Source organism: Homo sapiens, chromosome 4 (assembly GCF_000001405.40).
Source record: "Homo sapiens chromosome 4, GRCh38.p14 Primary Assembly".
NCBI lineage: Eukaryota > Metazoa > Chordata > Mammalia > Primates > Hominidae > Homo > Homo sapiens.
This window is the reverse complement of record NC_000004.12, coordinates 48,664,317-48,686,302: the sequence shown is the minus strand read 5'-3', so window position 1 is coordinate 48,686,302 and position 21,986 is coordinate 48,664,317. Positions and strand designations below refer to the sequence as shown.

Here is a 21,986-nt window from a genome sequence, read left to right as displayed (position 1 = left end):
GGCTTTAGTCATGATTTAATTGATTATGCCTGTGAGTAAATGAAATATTATATTTTTCTAACTTGGCTAAAGGAATTTCAAATTAAGAGTTTTTAGTACAAATTACTATTTCAGGATATTTCACCCTTTCTGTTGGGTTGGAGATTAAATTAATTAAAGAGAAAAACTAATATGCAACTGGTTATTTAAAATAAGGCTAATTTGAGTTTCAATGCCAGATTTAAAATTTGTCTTATTTTAGCTATAGAAAAATACCAAGACCAGCCAGGCATGGTGGCTCACGCCTGTAATCCCAGCCTTTAGGAGGATCACCTGAGGTCAAGAGTTGGATACCAGCCTAGCCAACATGGTGAAACCCCATCTCTCCTAAAAATACAAAAAATTAGCCGGGCGTGGTGGCGGATACCTGTAATCCTAGCTACTCAGGAGGCTGAGGCAGGAGAATCGCTTGAACCCGGGAGGTGGAGGTTGCAGTGAGCTGAGATCGTGCCACTGCACTCTAGCCTGGGCAACAAGAGTGAAACTCCGTCAAAAAAAAAAAAGCCAAGAAAACATGAAATGTGCCTGATAACGTGGAATCTTTATAAATGGTAAAAAGACAATTCCCAATTCCCTGTGGTCATTTTCTTTATTCTTAGTAACCATCCAAGTATTACAGATATGGTACAGTAGTTCATGGTCCATGACGCCCTCAGAGTTATTTTAGGTAGACTCTGAAAAATATGCATCCCAAATGTTATCTGTAGATGTGATAAATATCAGGCCTAGCAGATACATGAACTATTTTACAAATCTATATTTATTTTAGTGAATAAAATAATGTATTATTGAATAATTAAGTTGTGGTGTATTAGTTTAACCATTGGCTAGTAAAAGCATTGTCACTCTATACAGAAGAAAGGGAGGAGAAAAACTATAGATTAAAATTTATTTAAGAGATATGGTCACAATTGCCTGTATGGATTTTGTTTAAATTTAGAGAAAATTGTTAAAAAGATACTTATGAGACAATTGGGGAAATTTGAGTGATGATTAGTAGTTGATTATTATTATTATAGTAGTAGATGATTATTAATGTAAGCATTATAATGGTATTAACTTATTTTTACAAAGTAAATCCTTGTCTTAGAGAGATACATAATGAATTATCTACAGATGAAATGTTATAATGTCTGGAATTTGCTTTAGAATAATCCAGAGTGGTGGGATAGAGGTTGGGGAAAGTGGATGAAGATATAAATGAAACATGATTTGCCATGAGTTAATTGTTGAAGCTGGGAATGGTGGGGGGTTCATGATACTATTCTTAATAATTTTGGATTAGTTTGAAATTTTCCATAATAAAAAACTTAGAAAAAATGTCATGTAACATTATTGAAAGAGGATCTCTGCAGCACTAGGTGACACTGGTGTATAAAATGTATAAAATGTGTTCAGAAGGATGGATGTGAGTAACACACAGGTGTTAAACGCACCTAACGTGTAAATGTATTTTGTTTTTCCTCAGAGCTGAAGCCATTTATTGGTATCTTGGATGGTTAACATCTAAATGCTTAATTCCTGAAACCACTCAAGAGTCATAGGATTAGATGATCCAAGTCACCAAGAAATTACTGTCTCAAGTGATACGGTAAGATTATAGTAAATATTCTCAAGGCTAAATAGTGATTGAGGTCTGAAAAGATTTTTAAATGCTGTATTTTAGCTGTGAGGTTCTACTATAATTTCTTGATCCTATAACTATTATACCAGGAGTTAAAAGTTGTGGTAATCAGCTAAAGTGCTTAGAAGTATCACCATGTAAACAAGGCTTTGTGGCATTTCCTCCTTATAGATCCTGTCAGTAATAAATACAGTTTCATTACTGGAGTACTTCCCCTTTGCTGTATGTCTCAGAGTGGATCCTCTCAATGTTTGTTAGCAATCAACACCTATAACGAGGGGGCTTAGGAAGCAGATGAAGCATAGGAAATTGAACTGCAGTGCAGGCTTAACAAAGGTTTGGCCTACCCTACACAGAATATTATAACTGTGAGAGTATATTTCCCTTCTTAAGTAGTCAGCTTTTTGGGTAGAGAGACATATCTTCAATGCCTTCATATCTTGCACAGATCATTAGAGAAGCTATTCAACAAATATTTGTTGAATGAAGGAAATCAGAGAAAAATCTGTGGGATCTTCTATAACACCTAATCCTATCCCTATTACCTTAACCCCTTGCTCTCTCCAGTTGAAAGTGCAGTTGAGAATGGTGAGGTTAACAGTGACACAAATGGTTGTCTTGCATGTCATGAACAAACATGAATTAGCATTCTTCTATGTACCACTGTGTTTCTGGGCTTCATAGATAAGGACAACCTGCAGAGGGACCTGGGGAAAACCACAGACAAAATGGAAATAACATGGGATCATATCCAGAGAGAGAAGGAGGGAGAGAGGGGGAGAAAGGAATGAGTTTTAGGCATATTAAGGCATGCAGTTTACCATTCTAACAAGTTGTTTTTTCTGTTTGTGGGGAATAGACTGATTGGATCTTAATTTTGACACTTTTATGCTTGAAGATTAAGAGACAATCTGCTTCTAAAAGTCAGTGCTTTTTTCCTGTTGAATCTATACCTGCTTCAGGGCAACAAATTTATGTCTTTTACTTGACTTTGTTGTTTTTTTCCTATGGGAGTTCTTGAGACAGGATTTGTATTAATAAATCCTTAAACTTTCTCTGAACCTTAATACTATATTAATGCTTTACATGGAAAGGATCTTGAATGCTTTTTAAATAAATGAAGACTAGTTGACTTAATAAGTAATGTGATAGGAGAATAAGAATTAAAAACGAAGTAATTCAGAACCAGAAATTTACCCATTTTTCTTTTTTTTTTTTTTAATTATACTTTAAGTTCTGGGATACATGTGCAGAATGTGCAGGTTTGTTACATAGGTATACACGTGCCATAATGGTTTGCTGCACCCATCAACCCATCATCTACATTAGGTGTTTCTCCTAATGCTATCCCTCCCCTAGCCCCCCACCCCCTGACAGGCCCCAGTGTGTGATATTCCCCTCCTTGTGTCCATGTGTTCTCATTGTTCAACTCCCAATTATGAGTGAGAACATGTGGTGTTTGGTTTTCTGTTCTTGTGTTAGTTTGCTGAGAATGATGGTTTCCAGCTTCATCCATGTCCGTGCAAAGGACATGAACTCATTCTTTTTTATGGCTGCATAGTATTCTATGGTATATATGTGCCACATTTTCTTTTCTCCAGTTTATCATTGATAGGCATTTGGGTTGGTTCCAAGTCTTTGCTATTGTGAACAGTGCCGCAATATACATACGTGTGCATGAGTCTTTATAATAGAATGATTTATAATTCTTTGGGTATGTACCCAGTAATGGGATTGCTGGGTCAAATGGTATTTCTAGGTCTAGATCCTTGAGGAATCACCACATTGTCTTCCACAATGGTTGAACTAATTTACACTCCCACGAACAGTGTAAAAGCATTTCTATTTCTCTATATCCTCTCCAACATCTGTTGTTTCCTGACTTTTTAATGATCGCCATTCTAACTGGCATGAGATGGTGTCTCAATGTGGTTTTGATTTGCATTATCTAATGACCAGTGATGATGAGGTTTTTTTTCGTATGTTTGTTGGCTGCATAAATGTCTTCTTTTGAGAAGTGTCTGTTCATATCCTTTGACCACTTTTTGATGCAGTTGTTTGTTTTTTTCTTGTACATTTGTTTAAGTTCTTTATAGATTCTGGATATTAGCCCTTTGTCAGATGAATAGATTGTGAAAATTTTCTCCCATTCTGTAGGTTGCCTGTTCACTCTGATGATAGTTTCTTTGGCTGTGCAGAAGCTCTTTAATTAGATCCCATTTGTCAATTTTGGCTTTTGTTGCTATTGCTTTTGGAGTTTTAGTCATGAAGTCTTTGCCCATGCCTGTGTCCTGAATGGTATTGCCTGGGTTTTCTTCTAGGGTTTTTATGCTTTTAGGTCTTAGATTTAAGTCTTTAATCCATCTAGAGTTAATTTTTTCAACCATTTTTTCCTGATTTCTATGTAGACCATTTGTGGTTCATCTTTTGAAATACTATGCAAATCATTTTCTTCATGTTGAGCATTGGAAGAATGAGATTGTATTGTGTTTCACTAAGTGAATCAGATTTTTTAAATTATTATGTGTCATTCAGAGTTATAGATATGATTGCTTAGGGGTTTTACCCTGTTACCTTTGTGTTTTCATTTCCTTCTTGCTCACTTAACAACCCCACAAGAGGGCAGGCAAAGGAAGGGAGAGAACTTTCAGTTTTCAAAGTCTTTTGTAGGTATTCCTTTATTGTACTCTCTTGTTATACTTCTGAATTACATCAAAGCAGTAGGATTGGCTACTTTTGCTATTTCCAAATATTTTGTAGGGTGCTCAGTTATTTTGAAAAACATATAATGTTGATGACTGTGTTTATTGAATTTAAGAATTTATACTTTCAGTACTTCAGCTTTATGTTTTTAGATCCATATATTTAAAATTATCAATTTTTTTGGTTATTCATGCTGAAGTTTTCACCATTACTATTGATAAGTATCATTGATTGTAATAGGGAGTTTTTTTGGTGTTTAAAAGTAACTTTAGAATGTTTGTAATATAGAATAAAGTTTTAAATGACTCCTTTTCATGTTTTATAAAAGTTGACATTCCTGAGGTCTGTTAGTGAATTTTCAAAATGATAAGAATTATCTTTTGAATACAAGTTGCTGTTTTACACGTCAGCTCTAAGTTTATTTAAAAGGAAGACACACCTCAGGCCAAAGTAAATTTCTCTTTACATGATCACAGTGAAAGTTTTCAAAATCTAAATGTTAAACTAGATGGACGCTCAATATTTTATGGTCTCAGTATTGTCGTTAACACCCATTGTACATGTACGCGTACATGAAGGGCAGTTTCATGGTCTATAGCTGTTTGGTTTGTTATCAGCACAAACAGTAATGTCCTGAAAATCAGCTTCAAAACAGCTGGCAATTGACTGACTGGGGTTTAGCACCGCCTAAATTCATATGACGTTTATTTGCTCTTTGACACAAATAGTGTACCTGAACTTCTCATCAAGGAAGTTGGTATAGGCACCTTTCTGTGTGCTTGTGGGCCTAGTAATGTAGAAGAACCTTAAAATGGATTTTTTAAAGAGAGTTGTTCCTCCCATTCTTTCGGGAGATGTGGTTTTGGATACTAGTACTGAGGAAAGTTCCCCAAGATTAGTTAAGATGAAACGTCTTAGCTCACTTTCATCTGAGAAGACGGTGGATGAGCAAGGTGGAACCAATTTCTGTCATAGTAATTATGACAAATACGAACACCAACAACTAGGTAAAGTAAAAACGTATTTCTTTGCATCCTTTAAAAAAGTATTTTAGGAAAGTAAAACTATTTTTACAAGTATGAATTCTAGTGAGCAGGAATATTTTGAAAATCAAGTTTAAATATTAAAATGTTTAATGAAGTATATAGTTGGCCTACTTTTTTAATAAAATTTTTCTTCAAGTATAGCTGGAGAAATATTTATGCTGTAAGTCAAGATAAAACTATAATGCACTTAATAGTTTTGATCTTTGGAAAATATTTTGAAGCGTTATTGACAGTATGTTAGTTACACCTATAGGATATGTAAACAAAAAATAAGATACTGAATTGTGTCTGTTACTATAGAAACCATTTAAATTTTGTTTAAAAATATGTTCCATTGTTTTATTTTAAAAGATAATGAATATTTGGGCTGAAATATTAAAAAGTTAAATCTTTGAATAGAACAAGGATTATTTTGTATCATAGTATTTTTGTTATGTGTAATCCTGCAAAGGTAAATATAATGTTCTTTAAAGTTTGAGAGGATAATGGTTAATATGTTTTAGGATAAACATCAGCTTGCATATAGTAACTAACAAACATTAGAGGAAAGGAAAATTAGGAAAAAGATGAAAAAATGCTTCAAGTTTTCAAATATTTGATTAAAACAGTTTAAAATATTCTCTATGATTTTTTTTTAATTTTAGGGAGTAAATAGCTGTACCTATAAATTAATATGCTATTTATTAGAAGGGAGTTTCTGTAAACCCTCTGCAAGTTTGATATGTATTATAGCTGTTTTCCATGCATATTTTAATATGTATACATATTTAAGCATGCACATACACATTTTTATTAGCAGAATTTGAAAAAATGAGACTTATTGTCCAAGTCATTCTGATACTTGCTTTTTCATTTAGTACATCATAGACATCTTCCTGTCTCATTTGAAATGTGCTTTGTTGTGTGAATATAATGATTTATTCAATTCCTTATAGAGGAACATTTAGAATGACTACTTTTTAGTTATTAAAAATAATTATGTAATATTCATTGATATATCACTTCATACTTTGGGATGAGTGCTTATTAGTATAAGATTTCATATTAAAATTATATTACATTTTATTTGTTAAAATTGACATCATAATTGTACATATTCATGGGTTACATAGCGATGTTTTGATACTTACAGTGTATAGTGATCTTACCAGAGTTATTAGCATATCTATCATCTCAGACATTTATCATTTCTTTGTGTTAGAACATTCAATATTTTCCTTCTAGCTGTTTGAAACTGTATATTATTACTATGGTCATCCTACAGTGGTATAGAACACTAGAACTTATTTCTCCTATCTAGCTGCAATTTTGTATCTTTTAACAAATCTCTCCCTATTCCCCCACCTTCCCCCTGCCCTTCCTAGATTCTCCTATTTTCTGTTCTACTGCCTTTTAAGTTTTGATAGACAATGCGATTACCTTTGAAAACTTTATCATTTTAAGCTCCTTAGGGTAGGATATGAGAGTTCCCATTACCTTATATTCTCCCTACCATCGTTTCATGTCAGTTTAAAAAATAGTATATTTATGAGAAACCATACTTTCTTTTTAAAAAATACCAGTTACGTAAAAGAATAAAGAAGGAGCTTTTACATTTTAAAAAGAAATATATATTGATGTCTAGTGTGTACTGGTATTAGGAGTTACCAATTTTGTATACTGTTCGCTTATTTGAGTAGAAATGGAAATGAGGCCACTGATGGGTTGGCATCTCATAATTTTAATTAAAAAAATATAAATCAGCCAGCACTTGGTTTTGTGTTCAACAGTGTATATGCATAAGTGAAAATATGTATATATTAATATGTGCAGTTACTTGAATCATTTAGTTGTTTTCTTCACTTTACTACAGCCTACATAATTGGACTTGGTATTTAAATGTAATATGGTATGCCTATTTATATGGCTCCTTACTTTTATCTCTTAACTGGTTCTTTTTTTTAAAGACTATCTTATACTCTTAAATACAGCACACATGTTACAATTTATAATAATTAGATTTTATAATTTGTATTAATTTGCAAATAAGCAGTCAATCTAATGATTAAGAATTTCCTATGGTATATATGTTTTTACTAGTCAAGATCAAAATAAAGCATAATCATGAAACAGCAAATAATCTGATGTATGTTGAAATTTCTGAGGCTACAGGTTCTTTGTGGAATAACTCTTGCATGATTTTTCTCTTCAAAAATAAAATTCAGGGCTGAGGATGGGGAAGCAAAAAAAAATTCAACCTCAGGAAATGACTATTAAAATTAATTTAAAGAAATTATTTGGCAATTTATGTAGAGAGATTTGGTTTTAAAGTGTCTGGCTCTTCCAATGTACTTGTACTGATCAATTCCTTCTCTCTCTATTTTTTTTTTTTTTTTTTTTTTTTGAGATGGAGTTTTGCTCTGTCGCCAGGCTGGAGTGCAGGGGCGCGATCTTGGCTCACTGCAACCTCCGCCTCCCTTGTTCAAGCGATTCTCCTGCCTCAGTCCCCCTGAGTAGCTGAGATTACAGGCACACACCACCACACCCAGCTAATTTTTATATTTCTAGGGTTTTTATGGTTTTAGGTCTTAGATTTAAGTCTTTAATCCATCTAGAGTTAATTTTTTCAACCATTTTTTCCTGATTTCTGTGTAGACCATTTGTGCTTCATCGTTTGAAATGCTATGCCAATCATTTTCACCATGTTGGCCAAGATGGTCTCGATCTCTTGACCCTTGTTATCCACCTGCCTTGGCCTCCCAAAGTGCTGGGATTACAGGCATGAGCCACCGCACCCGGCCAATACCTTCTCTTGAATCTCAAGATTTGATACTAAATTTATATTGCATATACAAATTGTAAATATGACGGTTCATACCAATGTACACATAGGTTACTTGCGTCTCAACATAAGTGAATCTTACTTCCTATTTACTGGTGGTTCTGGGATAGAGATAATGCAGTGGTTTAGCCAGAAGTCATTAAAATATGACCAGTACAGTTCACCTAAGGGGTGTTACAGTTTTGTTCATTTACTGAAAGGAGAACTCGATGATATGGAGAGACTTCATGTAAAAAGATGCAAAGAAAGAGCTATTCTTTTAGAGAAAAAAATGGCATGTAATCTCAAAGCTTTATACTTGAATCAGTTGTTTCCAACTTCTTTAATTACTAATTCAATATTTAAAAAGTTATTTTTTCGGGCTGACGCGGTGGCTCACGCTTGTAATCCCAGCAATTTGGGAGGCCAAGGCAGGCGGATCACCTGAGGTCAGGAGTTTGAGATCAGTCTGGCCAACATGGCAAAACCCCGTCTCTATTAAAAATACAAAAATTAGCCGGGCATGGTGGCAGGCGCCTGTAATCCCAGCTACTTGGGAAGCTGAGGCAGGAGAATCGCTTGAACCCGGGAGGATGAGGTTGCAGTGAGCCGAGATCGCACTACTGCATTCCAGCCTGGGCAACAGAGAGAGACTCTGTCTCAAAAAAAAAAACAAAAACACACACACAAAAAATCGTTATTTTTTCCTAAGATATTTTAGGTAAGATTGTAATCTGTACTGACAGTTGTACGTTTGTGAGAGAATCAACCGAGAATAAGTCTAGCTTAGAATATATAGAAATCTACCTGCAGCTTTTAACTGTAGAATTATTTATAGATGCTTATGATTTAACAAAAATATGTGTAATTTGAAGGGAATGATATTTTAAAGATTCTTTGCTATTGATAATTTTTTTATTTTTAACTTTCTTTAAATGTTAAGTAGCCTAATATTTTAAAAATTTTCCTAGAAGTTCTCAAACAACTCTTTGGTTTCACCAATATCCTCTATTCCTCTGTAAAATATATTTTTAAATGCCTGTAGAGCACACTACTAAATACTGATGAAATTCCCTGCTACCATTTCTGCTCCTAACAGGCTAAGTTGTGGGCTTAACAAGAATTGGTTATATTTTTAAACAAATCTGTTTATGCCAGTTATACTTATTGTGATTATGTAATTCAATTAAATATTACATAATTCAATAAAGTGCGATTCAAAAGCAAGAGTTGTTTCAGTGTAAACAAAGTTGAATGCTTTGGTTAGACTTCATAAAGATTAATTCCCGAGAAAAATGTGCATTTGAATTTCACATAGGCCAGGAAAGTATACAAGATTGGAAGGATTTTGCCCTTGGATACCTTCAGTTTCTTCTGTCACTTTAAAGAAATTGAAACTTGGCCAGGCGCAGTGGCTCACGCCTGTAATCCCAAAACTTCGGGAGGCCGAGGCGGGCGGATCACGAGGTCAGGAGATTGAGACCATCCTGGCTAACACAGTGAAACCCCGTCTCTAATAAAAATACAAAAAAAAAAAAAAAAATAGCCGGGCCTGGTGGCGGGAGCCTGTAGTCCCAGCTACTCAGGAGGCTGAGGCAGGAGTGTCCCCGGAATTGGTGGTTTCTTGGTCTCACTGACTTCAAGAATGAAGCCGCGGACCCTCGCGGTGAGTGTTACAGCTCTTAAGATGGTGCGTCTGGAGTCTGTCCCTTCTGATGTTCAGATGTGTTGGGAGTTTCTTCTTTCTGGTGGGTTCGTGGTCTCACTGGCTCAGGAGTGAAGCTGCAGACCTTCGCGGTGAGTGTTACAGCTCATAAAAGCAGCATGGACCCAAAGAGTGAGCAGTAGCAAGATTTATTGCAAAGAGGGAAAGAACACAGCTTCCACAGTGTGGAAGGGGACCCGAGTGGGTTTCCAATGCTGGCTGGGGCAGCCTGCTTTTATTCTCTTATCTGGCCCCACCCACATCCTGCTGATTGGTAGAGCTGAGTGGCCTGTTTTGACACCGTGTTGATTGGTGCGTTTACAATCCCTGAGCTAGATACAAAGGTTCTCCATGTCCCCATCAGATTAGTTAGATACAGAGTTTGGACACACAGGTTCTCCAAGGCCCCACCAGAGCAGCTAGATATACAGAGTGTTGATTGGTGCACTCACAAACCTTGAGCTAAACACAGGGTGCTGATTGGTGTATTTACAAACCTTGAGCTATATACAGAGTGCTGATTGGTGTATTTACAACCCCTGAGCTAGACCTAAAGATTCTCCAAGGCCCCACCAGACTCAGGAGCCCAGCTGGCTTCACCTAGTGGATCCTGCACAGGGGCTGCAGGTGGAGCTGCCTGCCAGTCCCGTGCTGTGCACTCGCACTCCTCAGCCCTTGGGTGGTCGATGGGACTGGGCACCGTGGAGCAGGGAGTGGTGCTCGTCGGGGAGGCTAGGGCCACACAGGAGCCCATGGAGTGGGTGGGAGGCTCAGGCATGGCAGGCTGCAGGTCCCCAGCCCTGCCCCGCGGGAAGGCAGCTAAGGCTCGGTGAGAAATCGAGCGCAGCGCTGGTGGGCTGGCACTGCTGGGGGACCCAGTACACCCTCCGCAGCCGCTGGCCCGGGTGCTAAGTCCCTCATTGCCTGGGGCCAGCAGGGCTGGCCGTCTGCTCCGAGTGCCGGGCCTGGCAAGCCCACGCCCACCCGGAACTCCAGCTGGCCCGCAAGCGCCGCAGGCAGCCCCGGTTTCCGCTCGCGCCTCTCCCTCCACACCTCCCTGCAAGGTGAGGGAGTGGGCTCCAGCCTTGGCCAGCCCAGAAAGGGGCTCCCACAGTGCAGTGGTGGGCTGAAAGGCTCCTCAAGTGCCACCAAAATGGGAGCCCAGGCAGAGGAGGTGCCGAGAGCAAGCGAGGGCTCTGAGGACTGCCAGCGCGCTGTCACCTCTCAGGAGAATGGCGTGAACCCGGGAGGCGCAGCTTGCAGTGAGCCGAGATTGCGCCACTGCACTCCAGCCTGGGCTGCACAGCGAGACTCCGTGTCAAAAAAACAAAAAAGAAAAAAGAAATTGAAACTTGAAGTCATAGCTGATGTACATGGGTTTCGTTTTAGGCAAAAAGACAATGGCGTAATCAGCATATCTGCCTTGCAAGATAAGGCCTTGGCACTATATCAAAAGGCTGGGGAATAAACATGAATTTTATATTTTAAGTTAAAATAAAACTTTTAGTGAACCTCTTGATCTGTTTTTCCCCCAATTTCTACTTCAATGGAGTTTTGGATTAAATAATTAGACAACAGTTGTGTTACAGCAAAGGGCTTCTACTATATATAGCTGTATAATGTTGCTATTTTTTTTTTTTTTTTTTTTTGAGACAGAGTCTTGCTCTGTCGCCCTGGCTGGAGTGCAGTGGAGCGATCTTGGCTCACTGCAAGCTCCGCCTCCCAGGTTCACGTCATTCTCCTGCCTCAGCCTCCCGAGTAGCTGGGACTACAGGAGCCCGCCACCACGCCCGGCTAATTTTTTGTATTTTTAGTAAAGATGGGTTTTCACCGTGTTCGCCAGGATGGTCTCTATCTCCTGACCTCGTGATCTACCCGCCTTGGCCTCCCTATGTTGCAATTTTTAAGAGAAATCATTTATTTGCTATTCCTACTTAATAAAGAAATCAAAATGATCACATGTGATGTGATATAATCTTATCCTATTCATGAAATGCTTAAATATCCTTAGACTGTTTTTTTGTATGTGTGTGTGTAGAGTCCTAATTATGTGATCCAAGACTGGTTTCACTGATAAATACTAGTAGAATTGGAACTTATATTATCTATATTCAGGTATAAATGTTGGTGGGAGGAAGATATTATTTACTGATTCAGAATGTACTAACAATGTTTTCTGACTGTTGAACAGAGAAGTCCTTCTATGTCTCGGATTGGGTTATTTTATTCTGATGGAATCAACATTAATATTGTCGCTGTTCATTCCATTTGGAATCAAGGATAAGGGTTAATGTAACAAAAAATATATTTTAACATTGATTTTTATAAAATTCATCAAGAACAGAGACAATGATACATTTAACAGAAGAAGATATATACCACCATTAAGAATGGAAGAAACATATGAGCACCTTCTATATTCTGGACACTATTAACTTGTTCTGTTTTACCAATAACTGAAGTGATCTCATTTGTCTACCTATTTAGTACATATGTGTTCCATTCCCCACATCAAATAGAACATAAGCTGAGCGTGAACTTTGTTTTGTTTCATGTGTTCCAAGGCTTGGGACATAATAGTTGCTCACTGATTGAAGTTAGTGAATGTTATCTAAGTCCTCTTGACAACCCTGTGAGACAGGTCGTTATCTAGAATTTTAAACATTCCTGGGAACTTAAAATTATTTGAGGCCTTTTGATTACTAAGTGATATAGCCATGCCATTGTTTTAAAATAAGGCGTTTGCTCCTTCTACTCTATTGCATTGCATTATTGTTTGATGTTTTTGAATCTTTAGGTATACAGTATTTTTTTTTTAAAAGACTAGTGTGTCTGATGGGTGCAGTGTCATGCACCGGTAGTCCCAGCTACTTATGAGATTGAGGCTGGAGGACTACTTGAACCCAGGAGTTCCAGGCTGCAGTATCCAATGATGACATCTGTGAATAGCCTCTGCATTCCAGCCTGGGCAGCATAGCGAGGCTCTGTCTCTTAAAAAAATAAAGACTAGTGTATCTATCAAGTTTTATTATTTTATTAAAGAACATGTACTTTTTTGGTGCTTTCATTTGAAGATATATTTTAATAGGAAAAAACTTTAATTCTAGTGTGTATTAAGCATTAGTCTTTGAAACTGTCTTTAATGATCAGTTGATAATTAGTTTTTGTAACACTCTGGTGAGATAAACTGATTAAGTAAATGGCTATTTTACATGACTTTTACAAAACAAGAGACACATATTGTATTGGTTCCATTTCATTACAAAGTGTTAATGGCTTCATGAGATATAAATGTTTAAATCGTATACTGGTATACCTCTCCCTAGGTATTCAGCACAGCTCACTAGCAGGGACAACCCACGATGTAGCACTTATTTTACTAACTGGATTTCCTTAGTAAGTGATCTTTTCAGTTTTGTTTTCATAGAACCATTGCTCTCAGTTGTTAACTTGTGTTAAGTCCAGATTAGCAGATTTTTGTTTGATACTCTTAATGTTGGGTAGAGGAATAACATGACAGGCCACTTTCTTTTTAGAAGGGAACAAAGTGGATAATGGGTGACTTAAGTCTTCATTGAAGACCAGAGTATTCTTGAGGAGTTTAGAGAAGGTCCTGGGAGAAAATTGAGTTGAGGTTTCTGACACTTCAGATGCTTATGATTTGATACACTGAAGGAGGTGGAGAATTGTTTGGAATTCAGAAGTGATAAAAAAGGTTGCTGGGCAGCACAATGCCTGGAAGAACCTGAGCTCCAAATAATAATCAGTTTGCTATGGAACTTTCAGCCTGACCAAGATAGAACCTCATACTTACTATGTAAGTGTGTGAAGGAGGTCAGGACTTCTTTTTCCTACTACAAATAGGATTTGGAAGCACTGGGCTTTCATAGTGTCATAGTGTGAAATATGTTCCTTTTCTTAAGAGGGTCTTCGGAGTACTTTTCAGGCTGTAATTATTGGAAGATTTAGGAGAAGCCCTATTGGGTTGTTGTATTCATGTCTTCTCTGTTATCTTCTGGGAATTCTCATGACAAAGGAGGAATATTGGGAATACCTACAGTCATGATGGGGGGCCAGGCAGTGAAATGTTGAGAAAGGAAGGAGATGGCACTTCCATCCAGACTAAGCTGAGCTGTACCAGTGACTTGCCTTGAACCGGCTACTTAATCGCTCTAGACTAGTTAACCTCACCTATCAATTTGAATCATATCTTCTTTCTAGCATTGTTTTCAAGATTATAAAAAATTGTCAACAAAATTGATAATTGTTCAGTAAATGGTGTCTATTGTTATTACAAAGACTTCTTGATTTTTATTTGGATGTAGATGAATCAATTTAATTACAAATTTAACCTTGGAGCATTCTGTCACAGAAAGTATTCTAGGAATTTGGATCTAGGTCTTTTATTGTGCATAATTCCTGAAAATTTTAGCACTTGACTTATAGGACAGTTAATGGGGCTTGAAACAGAGCACCTTTTTCTGTCTTTCCTTCTTTTTTTTTTTTTTTTTTGTTTTTTTTTTTTTTGTTTTTGAGACGGAGTCTCTCTCTCTCGCCCAGGCTGGAGTGCAGTGGCGTGATCTTGGCTCACTGCAACCTCTGCCTCCCAGGTTCAAGCGATTCTTGTGCTTCACCCTCCTGGGTAGCTGGGATTACAGACGTGCACCACCAGGCCCGGCTAATTTTTGTATTTTTGTATTTTTGTTTTGTTTTGTTTTGAGATGGAGTTTTGCTCTTGTTGCCCAGGCTGGAGTGCAATGGTGCAATCTCGGCTCACCACAACCTCTGCCTCCCGGGTTCAAGCGATTCTCCTGCCTCAGCCTCCCGAGTAGCTGGGGTTACAGGCATGCGCTATCACACCCAGCTAATTTTGTATTTTTAGGAGAGATGGGGTTTCACCGTGTTGGCCAGGTTGGTTTTGAACTCCTGACCTCAGGTGATCCACCTGCCCCAGTCTCCTTAAGTACTGGGATTACAGGTGTGAGCCACCACACCCGGCCCTAGCTTTCCTTTTTTGTTCATAATGTGTGTCTTCCATATAGCTACTGCCAAATGATTGTGTGATTCAGATACAAAGGTTTTTTAAGAAGTTCGTGCAACAGTACTATATCAGTAGTTTTTGTTGGGTATTTTTATAGTTAGTCTAATCACTTCTTAAGTATCTTTTTAAGGTGCTTAACATCATTGATGATCAGAGAAGTGTAAATCAAAACTACAGTGAGATATCATCTCACTCCAGTTAAAAATGACTTTTATCCAAAAGACAGGCAGTAACAAACGCTGGTGAGGATGTGGAGAAAAGCGAACCCTTGTACACTATTGATGGGAATGTACATTAGTACAACCACTATGGAGAACTGTACGGAGGTTCCTCAGAAATCTAAAAATAGAGTGACTATATAGGATCCAGCAATCCCAGTACTAGGTGTATACCCAAAAGAAAGGAAATCAGTATATCAAAGAGATATCATCACTCCCATGTTTATTGCAGCACTATTCACAACAGCCGAGATTTGGAAGCAACCTAAATGTCCACCAACAGATTAATGGATAAAGAAAATGTGGTACATACACACAGTGGAGTACTATTCAGCTGTGAAAAAGGATGAGATTCTGTCACTTGCAGCAACATGGATGGAACTGGAGGTCATTATGTTAAGTGAAATGAGCCAGGCACAAAAGACAGACTTCACATGTTTTCACTTGTGGGAGCTAAAAGTTAAAACAGTTGAACTCATGGAGATAGAGTAGAAGGATGGTTACCAGAGGCTGGGAAAAGCAGTGATGAGATCAGAGGCTAGGAGTGGGGAAGTGGAGATGGTCAATAGTTACAAAAATAGTAATAGTTAGAAAGAATGAATAACATCTAGTATTTGCTAGCACAGCAGGGTGACTATAGTAAAAAAAATTATATATATATACATATATATATGTATATGTATATATATATTTCGAGATGGAGTCTCACTCTGTCACCCAGGCTGGAGTGCAGTAGCACAATCTCGGCTCACTGCAGCCTCCTCCTCTCGGGTTCAAGCAGTCTTCCTGCCTCAGCCTTCCAAGTAGCTGGGATTACAGGTGTGTGCCACCATGCCCAGCTAATTTTTGTATTTTTAGTAGAGATGGGTTTCACCATGTTGGCCAGACTGATCTCAAACTCCTGACCTCAAGTGATCCACCCACCTCAGCCTTCCAAAGTGCTGGGATTACAGGCATGAGCCACTGCACCAGCCTATAGTAAAAAATAATTTAATTGTACATTAAAAAAACTAAAAAGGTATAATTGGATTGTCTGGAATGCAAAGGATAAATGCTTGAGGTGATGGGTACTCCATTTACCCTGTGATTGTTACACATTGCATGCTTGTATGAACATGTCTCATGCACCCCATGTGTATATACACCTACTATCTATTCATAAAAATTAAAAGTAAAAAATGATTTTAAAAAATGTAAAAAAAAAATTGACAGTAAAAAAATTATTTTAAAAGCTGTCTTTTTAGACTGCCTCCCAAAGTTACACGGATGTATATTATTAAAAATTGGGACAGTTAAGTATGGTTAAATTTAGGGTCAGGATCTTTATTTCCTTGGCTTTTAGAATTTGCAGGAAACTTAATTGAAGTAAACATACATCTGTCTCCTCCATCTTTTAAAAATGTTTATGTATTAAATATATGTTTAATAATAATATAAGGGATATATAAAGAGGATATACATAATTAATGAGATATATAATTTTTATTTAATAAAATTTTTATGTAATAAAAATTATATATATCCCTTTAATATAATTTTACATATATATCCTTTATATATATATACCCTTATAATATTATTATAAATTATAATGCAAATTATACTAGTCACAAGACTGGTGTATATCCAGTATGTACTGGTATGGTGACACTGGTTGTTAAAATATTACCATTTGTCATATCAGTTGATATTTAGCCACTACTAAATCTCCTCCCCCAATTGCTCGTGATGCTCAAATACCCCTGCCCTCATCCCAGGACCACCATATGTTTCATAAACTAAAGGGTGAGGCACACCGTAGGGCTCCCAGAACTCAGCTCCACTCTGAGGCTGCACCTGCTCTAATTGTTCAGTTGCTGCACCTTCCTGGTGGATGACTGTTTTGATGATCACAGCTGCTTATTCCTCACTTAAGAAGCAAAAGGAAAGCAGTATTGAATCTAAGGTAAAATAATTGAAACAAAGGAGATAAGAAAAATGTATTGATAAGTAAATGTATCGCTAAATAAATAGCAAGTAAAACATACTAAAATAATAAAGGTGTAAAAAGATGAATAAGACAATAAAATGTCTATCTCAAAATATTGAAAAAATAAAGATACGGTTTTAAAAAGAAGAGTAGAATAGGTTAAGAAGAATAAAGCTAAGTTGAAGTTTAAAATGTAACTAAAGGAATATTCTGTAAAGGTTAAACAAAAATCAAATGCTATAAAGGGAATTCAGGAAGCAATATTCAGTCCAAGGGTTAACCCCACCCAGATACAAGTTGTGGCCTTTGGGTTGAGGCAGCTATAGTTAATAAGCCTCCAATTCTGGTGACTTCCTGAAACTGGAATCTACAAGGGGAGTGGAAATCTCTTGTATGACTATCGTTGGGGTTAATAAGTTTTCCTCACCGCCTAGCCTCAGTTATTATTCTATTTAACATGAAAGTATTGTTTCTTTTTACCAGATAGTGGGTTGAGGACTGAGTTGGTCTGACTTTTGTGGGTACCCCAGAGCTTAGCCCAGTGGCAAGCACTTCTTAAGCAGTTAGTAAACCTTTGTTAAATAAATGTTAAGAGTCCTCTAGCTTTCATGTACCAGAGCAAGTTTTTACTTGTTAACAAGAAGTGCTGTCAGTTGCCATATTTAGCTCACTGACTTGTCCTTCAAAACCATCTAGCACATTGCTCAGTAGGCAATGGTTCCCTAGGCAAAACCAGTCTTAGTTTCTTTCTTTCTTTTTTTTTTTTTTTTTAATTTTTTGAGATGGAGTGTTGCTCTGTCACCTAGGCTGGAGTGCAGTGATGCGATCTCCAGCCTTAGTTTCAAAATGGAAAGAGAAAAACAAAAAAACCACCTCAAATTAAGCAAACGATGATCAATCTAGAACAGCAGTTAGTAAACCTTTTCTGTAAAGGGCCAGATAGTAAATATTTTAGGCTTTGCAGGCCACAGGTCTTTGTCGCAGGTACTTAGCTCTGGCTTTGTAGAGCCAAAGTGGTTCTAGATGATATGCGAGTGAATGTGTGTGGCTGCATTTTACTACAACTTTATTTAAAAAAACAGCTGTTGGGCCAGATTTGGCCTTGGGGGTCAGTTTTCCAACCCCTAAGCTAGACCACAGAAAAGAATATTGGTAACATCAGAGAGCTACATACAAGTAACTTACCTGGGAAATAGAGAATGGAGGCTTTGGCCGGACGCTGTGGCTCTCGCCTGTAATCACAGCACTTTGGGAAGCCAGGGTGGGTGGATCACCTGAGGCCAGGAGTTTGAGACCAGCATGGCCAACATGGTGAAATCCTGTCTCTACTAAAAATATAAAAATTAGCCAGCTGTAGTGGTGTGCACCTGTAATCCCAGGTACTGGGGAGGCTGAGGCAAGAGAATTGCTTGAACCTGGGAGGCGGAGGTTACAGTGAACTGAGATCGCACCACTGCACTCCAGTCTGGGAGACAGAGCAAGATCCTGTCTCCAAAAAAAAAGAATGGAAGCTTTGAAGAAAGGGTCCAATATTATACTTAGTTCTATTTTCTGTAACCCTTGGAATAGTGTTTTATCTGTAGCAGGTGTTCAGTAAATATTTATTAATTTGATTTGAGATCCTACTATATTGCTTATCTTCCTTGGTCTTCAGTTGTCTCATGGAATTTAAGAGATTATGATAAATGATTGCTAAAATCTCTCCAGTTCAAAAAAAAAAAAGCGAGGGGGTGGGGTTCTGTGATTCTGTGTGACTGTTTTTGGAAGGCCGGATGTTTTATTTTTTAGAGATAACAATTGTTGGCTTAACACATTTCCTGTATGTGCCCAGTATCCTGATTTGCAGTTCTGAAGTGGTTGCTTTTATTAGTTATTTTGTTGTATGGACCTGTCTTCAATGACCTGTCCTCAGTGGAATGGATTGTCCACTAGGGTATACCTACATGCCTTCCACTCATCTCTCCCACCCCATCCTGCTACATATGGGGGTAGAATACATACTTTGTTTTATTTTAATAATAAAATTTATTAATCTGAGTCATTTTGTTTTGTTTTAAAAAAAATTAGCTGTAAAGGTAACCTAGACCATCTCAGATGATTCTTTGCAGAAAGATGGCAATCAGGATGAGGATTAGTCTATCTAGCAAAGCAAACATGCCATCACTGACTTATTTAAACTGTTAAACAATCCAAAATAATTTTAGTTATTACAAAGTAAATCATAGTAATCTTACCTAAATTCTTCTTATACTTAGTTCTTTTACTTAGACTTTTGATGGGTTTTTGTGTTTCTAAAGAGTGAGTTAAGATTAAATGGGCCGTTTGATGATCTCTTACACTGTCCTCAAGAGGAAGTATAAGCTGATGCACATTTCTAGTCAACTTGATGAAGAAACTTTAAAAAAAAACTATGAAACGTTCATTGTAATCAATACAGAAAATTTCTCTTTATTATTTCTTAGGCTTCCAAAATTTCCTGTTAAGTAGCCCTTAAAGTTGGACGTGCTTAAGAATCACGTAGGGGATCTTATTAAACAATAGATTCTGGTTTTCTAGGTTTAGAGTGGGGGTTTAAGGAATATTAAGATTATGAAGTTAGCTTTTTCTAAATTGCTTTGAATACAGTGCATTTTGATTAAGGTTAACCATGCATAAACATTTATCTATGTTTTGGACTTGCCCATTGAATTTTACTGGATGATCTTTTCATCTTTTCCTTTTAACCCTATTGGTTCTCTAATTCTTATTTATTTATTTATTTATTTATTTATTTACTTTTTATTTATTTTTTGAGACTGAGTCTCACTGTGTCACCCAGGCTGGAGTGCAGTGGCGTGGTCTCGGCTCACTGCAACCTCCACCTCCCGGGTTCAAGCTATTCTCCTGCCTCGGCCTCCCGAGTAGCTGGGATTACAGGTGTGTGCCACCATACCTGGCTAATTTTTGGTTTTTTATTTTAGTAGAGACAGAGTTTCACCATGTTGGCCAGGCTGGTCTCAAACTCCTCACCTCAAGTGATCTGCCCGCCTTGGCCTCTCAAAGTGCTGGAATTACAGGCGTAAGCCACTGTGCTTGGCCTTGTCCTCTTAAGAGTTATTTTTGCTCTTATATTTGGTTGCCTCTGCAGTTTATTGGCTCTTCCTTTCCTGGTTTAGACCTTTATTTTGTTACAGCCTTGCTGACTCACCTCTGTGGTTTAAAACTAGAGTGATATCAAAGGTGGCTTTAATGGTAAAGAACCTATAGTTGATTGAAAATGTAGTTTACTACTGACAATTTAGGAAACAAGGCAAGTTTTGGCAGTAAATAGTGAGCCTTTACTTTGTGATGAGTGCTTCATGGAGAAGGTGACTGTAAGAGGTCTCCGTACACCCTGGGTAGTTGCAGTTTAAGTCTCTTTTCTGGCATCATTATTAATAGTACCTACTTCATGCTCAAAACAGCTCTGCTATATTCACACTATGGGTGATTCATAGAATTTTACTCGTTCTGTTCCATTAGGACTAGCCAATTTTGATGGCAGATACCCCTTTCTTCCCTAAGCATCTGTATAACCTGTATTGTCAGTGAAACTATGTTGGTATTAATAATTCCAGCTTCAAGACAATAAAATAAATATGCATTATGTTATAAAAATACAAATCCAGTAACTGGGAGCTTTTTGAATAGAAATTTTAAAATCTGGATTTTAATTAACAATATCTTCAAAAACTGTTGTTTCAAGTAATTAAATATTTCTATCTCTATTTCAAAGGAGCTTGAGAATGATTTTTAAATATATTTGGAAAGAGCAGATGTTTTATCTTTGAATAAATAATATCATCTAGCACTGTGCCAAATTTGATAGGAAATTGGTATGGTGTGTGATCTTCTAGACTGTTTCATTCTAGCAGAGGAATGTTTTTTAAATGTGTGAAATATATAAAAAGAACTAAAACCAAAAGCCAGGAACAAATTGGGCTATTAATGAATACCTGTGTCAGGAATGTAACAGTAATTGTACCTTATGGCTTACACAAGCAATATAATTGCTGCATAGGTAACCACACCCCAAATTACAGAGCTTAGTTAAAATACTTTCTTACTGGTTTTATGTTGCTAACTTATGAGTATATTATTGCACTGGTCCAATCTGTAACATTTGTATAAAACTTACCTTTTTTAGAAACCCACTTATAGCTATGATTAGAAACTTGATTTATACTTCTAAATATAAGCAGTTAATTTGGACATGACCTGAAACCTTTCTATTTAGAATTCTAGGCAGAATTCTGGTCCAACTGTTTCAGCAACAGATTCTCTTCATTATTGAGTGGTTTATTTTGTTTACCTTTGATACTGCTATATTTGAATTATTGTCTCTTTACTGCTTTCTTTTTCCTCAGTTCAGCTGAATTCATTAAGTGTGGTTATTGTTGGCTAGCAAGCACTTGAAAATAATTCACTTTTCCCCTTCATAAATAAACAAGATGCCGTGAGAGCTATGTGGGACTGGTAATCTGTCTACTTCTCTGCTGTCTAGTACTTTCATCCCTTTGTATTTTAGATTTATTAATATATAGCCTAGACTCTTCTTTATGTGACCCATACCGGGCTATTCCACATTCAGCATGACCTTCTACTGAGTCCGCTAAGCCTGGGGGTCACCTTTGAATATTTTAACTTTACTTATGTTTTTCCATTTTGTTAGTCACCAAATACATCAGGAAATATCTAGCAGGAAAAATTGGAAATCTGTTTCCTTATTTTCATTCTTACTGCCTTCTTCCTAATTACTATCAGTGTACTATTTTCTTTTAAAGTAATTGTCTTTCACCTCAGCAATTTAAATAGCCCATTGA

The 21,986-nt window shown here is 37.1% G+C and overlaps 1 protein-coding gene across 16 annotated transcripts in view, besides 1 other annotated feature; it reads left to right on the top strand.

Annotated features, from left to right (window-relative positions):
• Window positions 1–21,986, top strand: part of FRYL (FRY like transcription coactivator) — a 282,923-nt gene that overhangs the window by 93,977 nt on the left and 166,960 nt on the right. For 10 of the 16 annotated variants that reach the window (XR_007096393.1, XM_047450098.1, XM_047450097.1 and 7 more), the window contains exon 1: window positions 5,093–5,373. The exons of 2 other annotated variants lie outside the window; for them this stretch is intronic. Coding sequence is in view for 9 of the 14 variants with exons in the window: in XM_047450098.1 (XP_047306054.1) it covers window positions 5,178–5,373 (196 nt within the window). In the remaining 5 variants the exon portion in view is untranslated. Of the gene's footprint in view, window positions 1–1,507; window positions 1,631–5,092; window positions 5,374–21,986 lie in introns of those variants that run through there. 4 more of the 16 variants (XM_024453991.2, NM_015030.2, XM_005248090.6 and 1 more) reach the window with 1 other exon arrangement.
• Window positions 2,077–2,371: a silencer, noted in NCBI's record as "tiled region #7734; HepG2 Repressive non-DNase unmatched - State 23:Low". NCBI's record gives its function as "represses a minimal TATA promoter and a strong SV40 promoter by Sharpr-MPRA in HepG2 cells {active_cell/tissue: HepG2}" and the evidence as "EXISTENCE:reporter gene assay evidence [ECO:0000049][PMID:27701403]".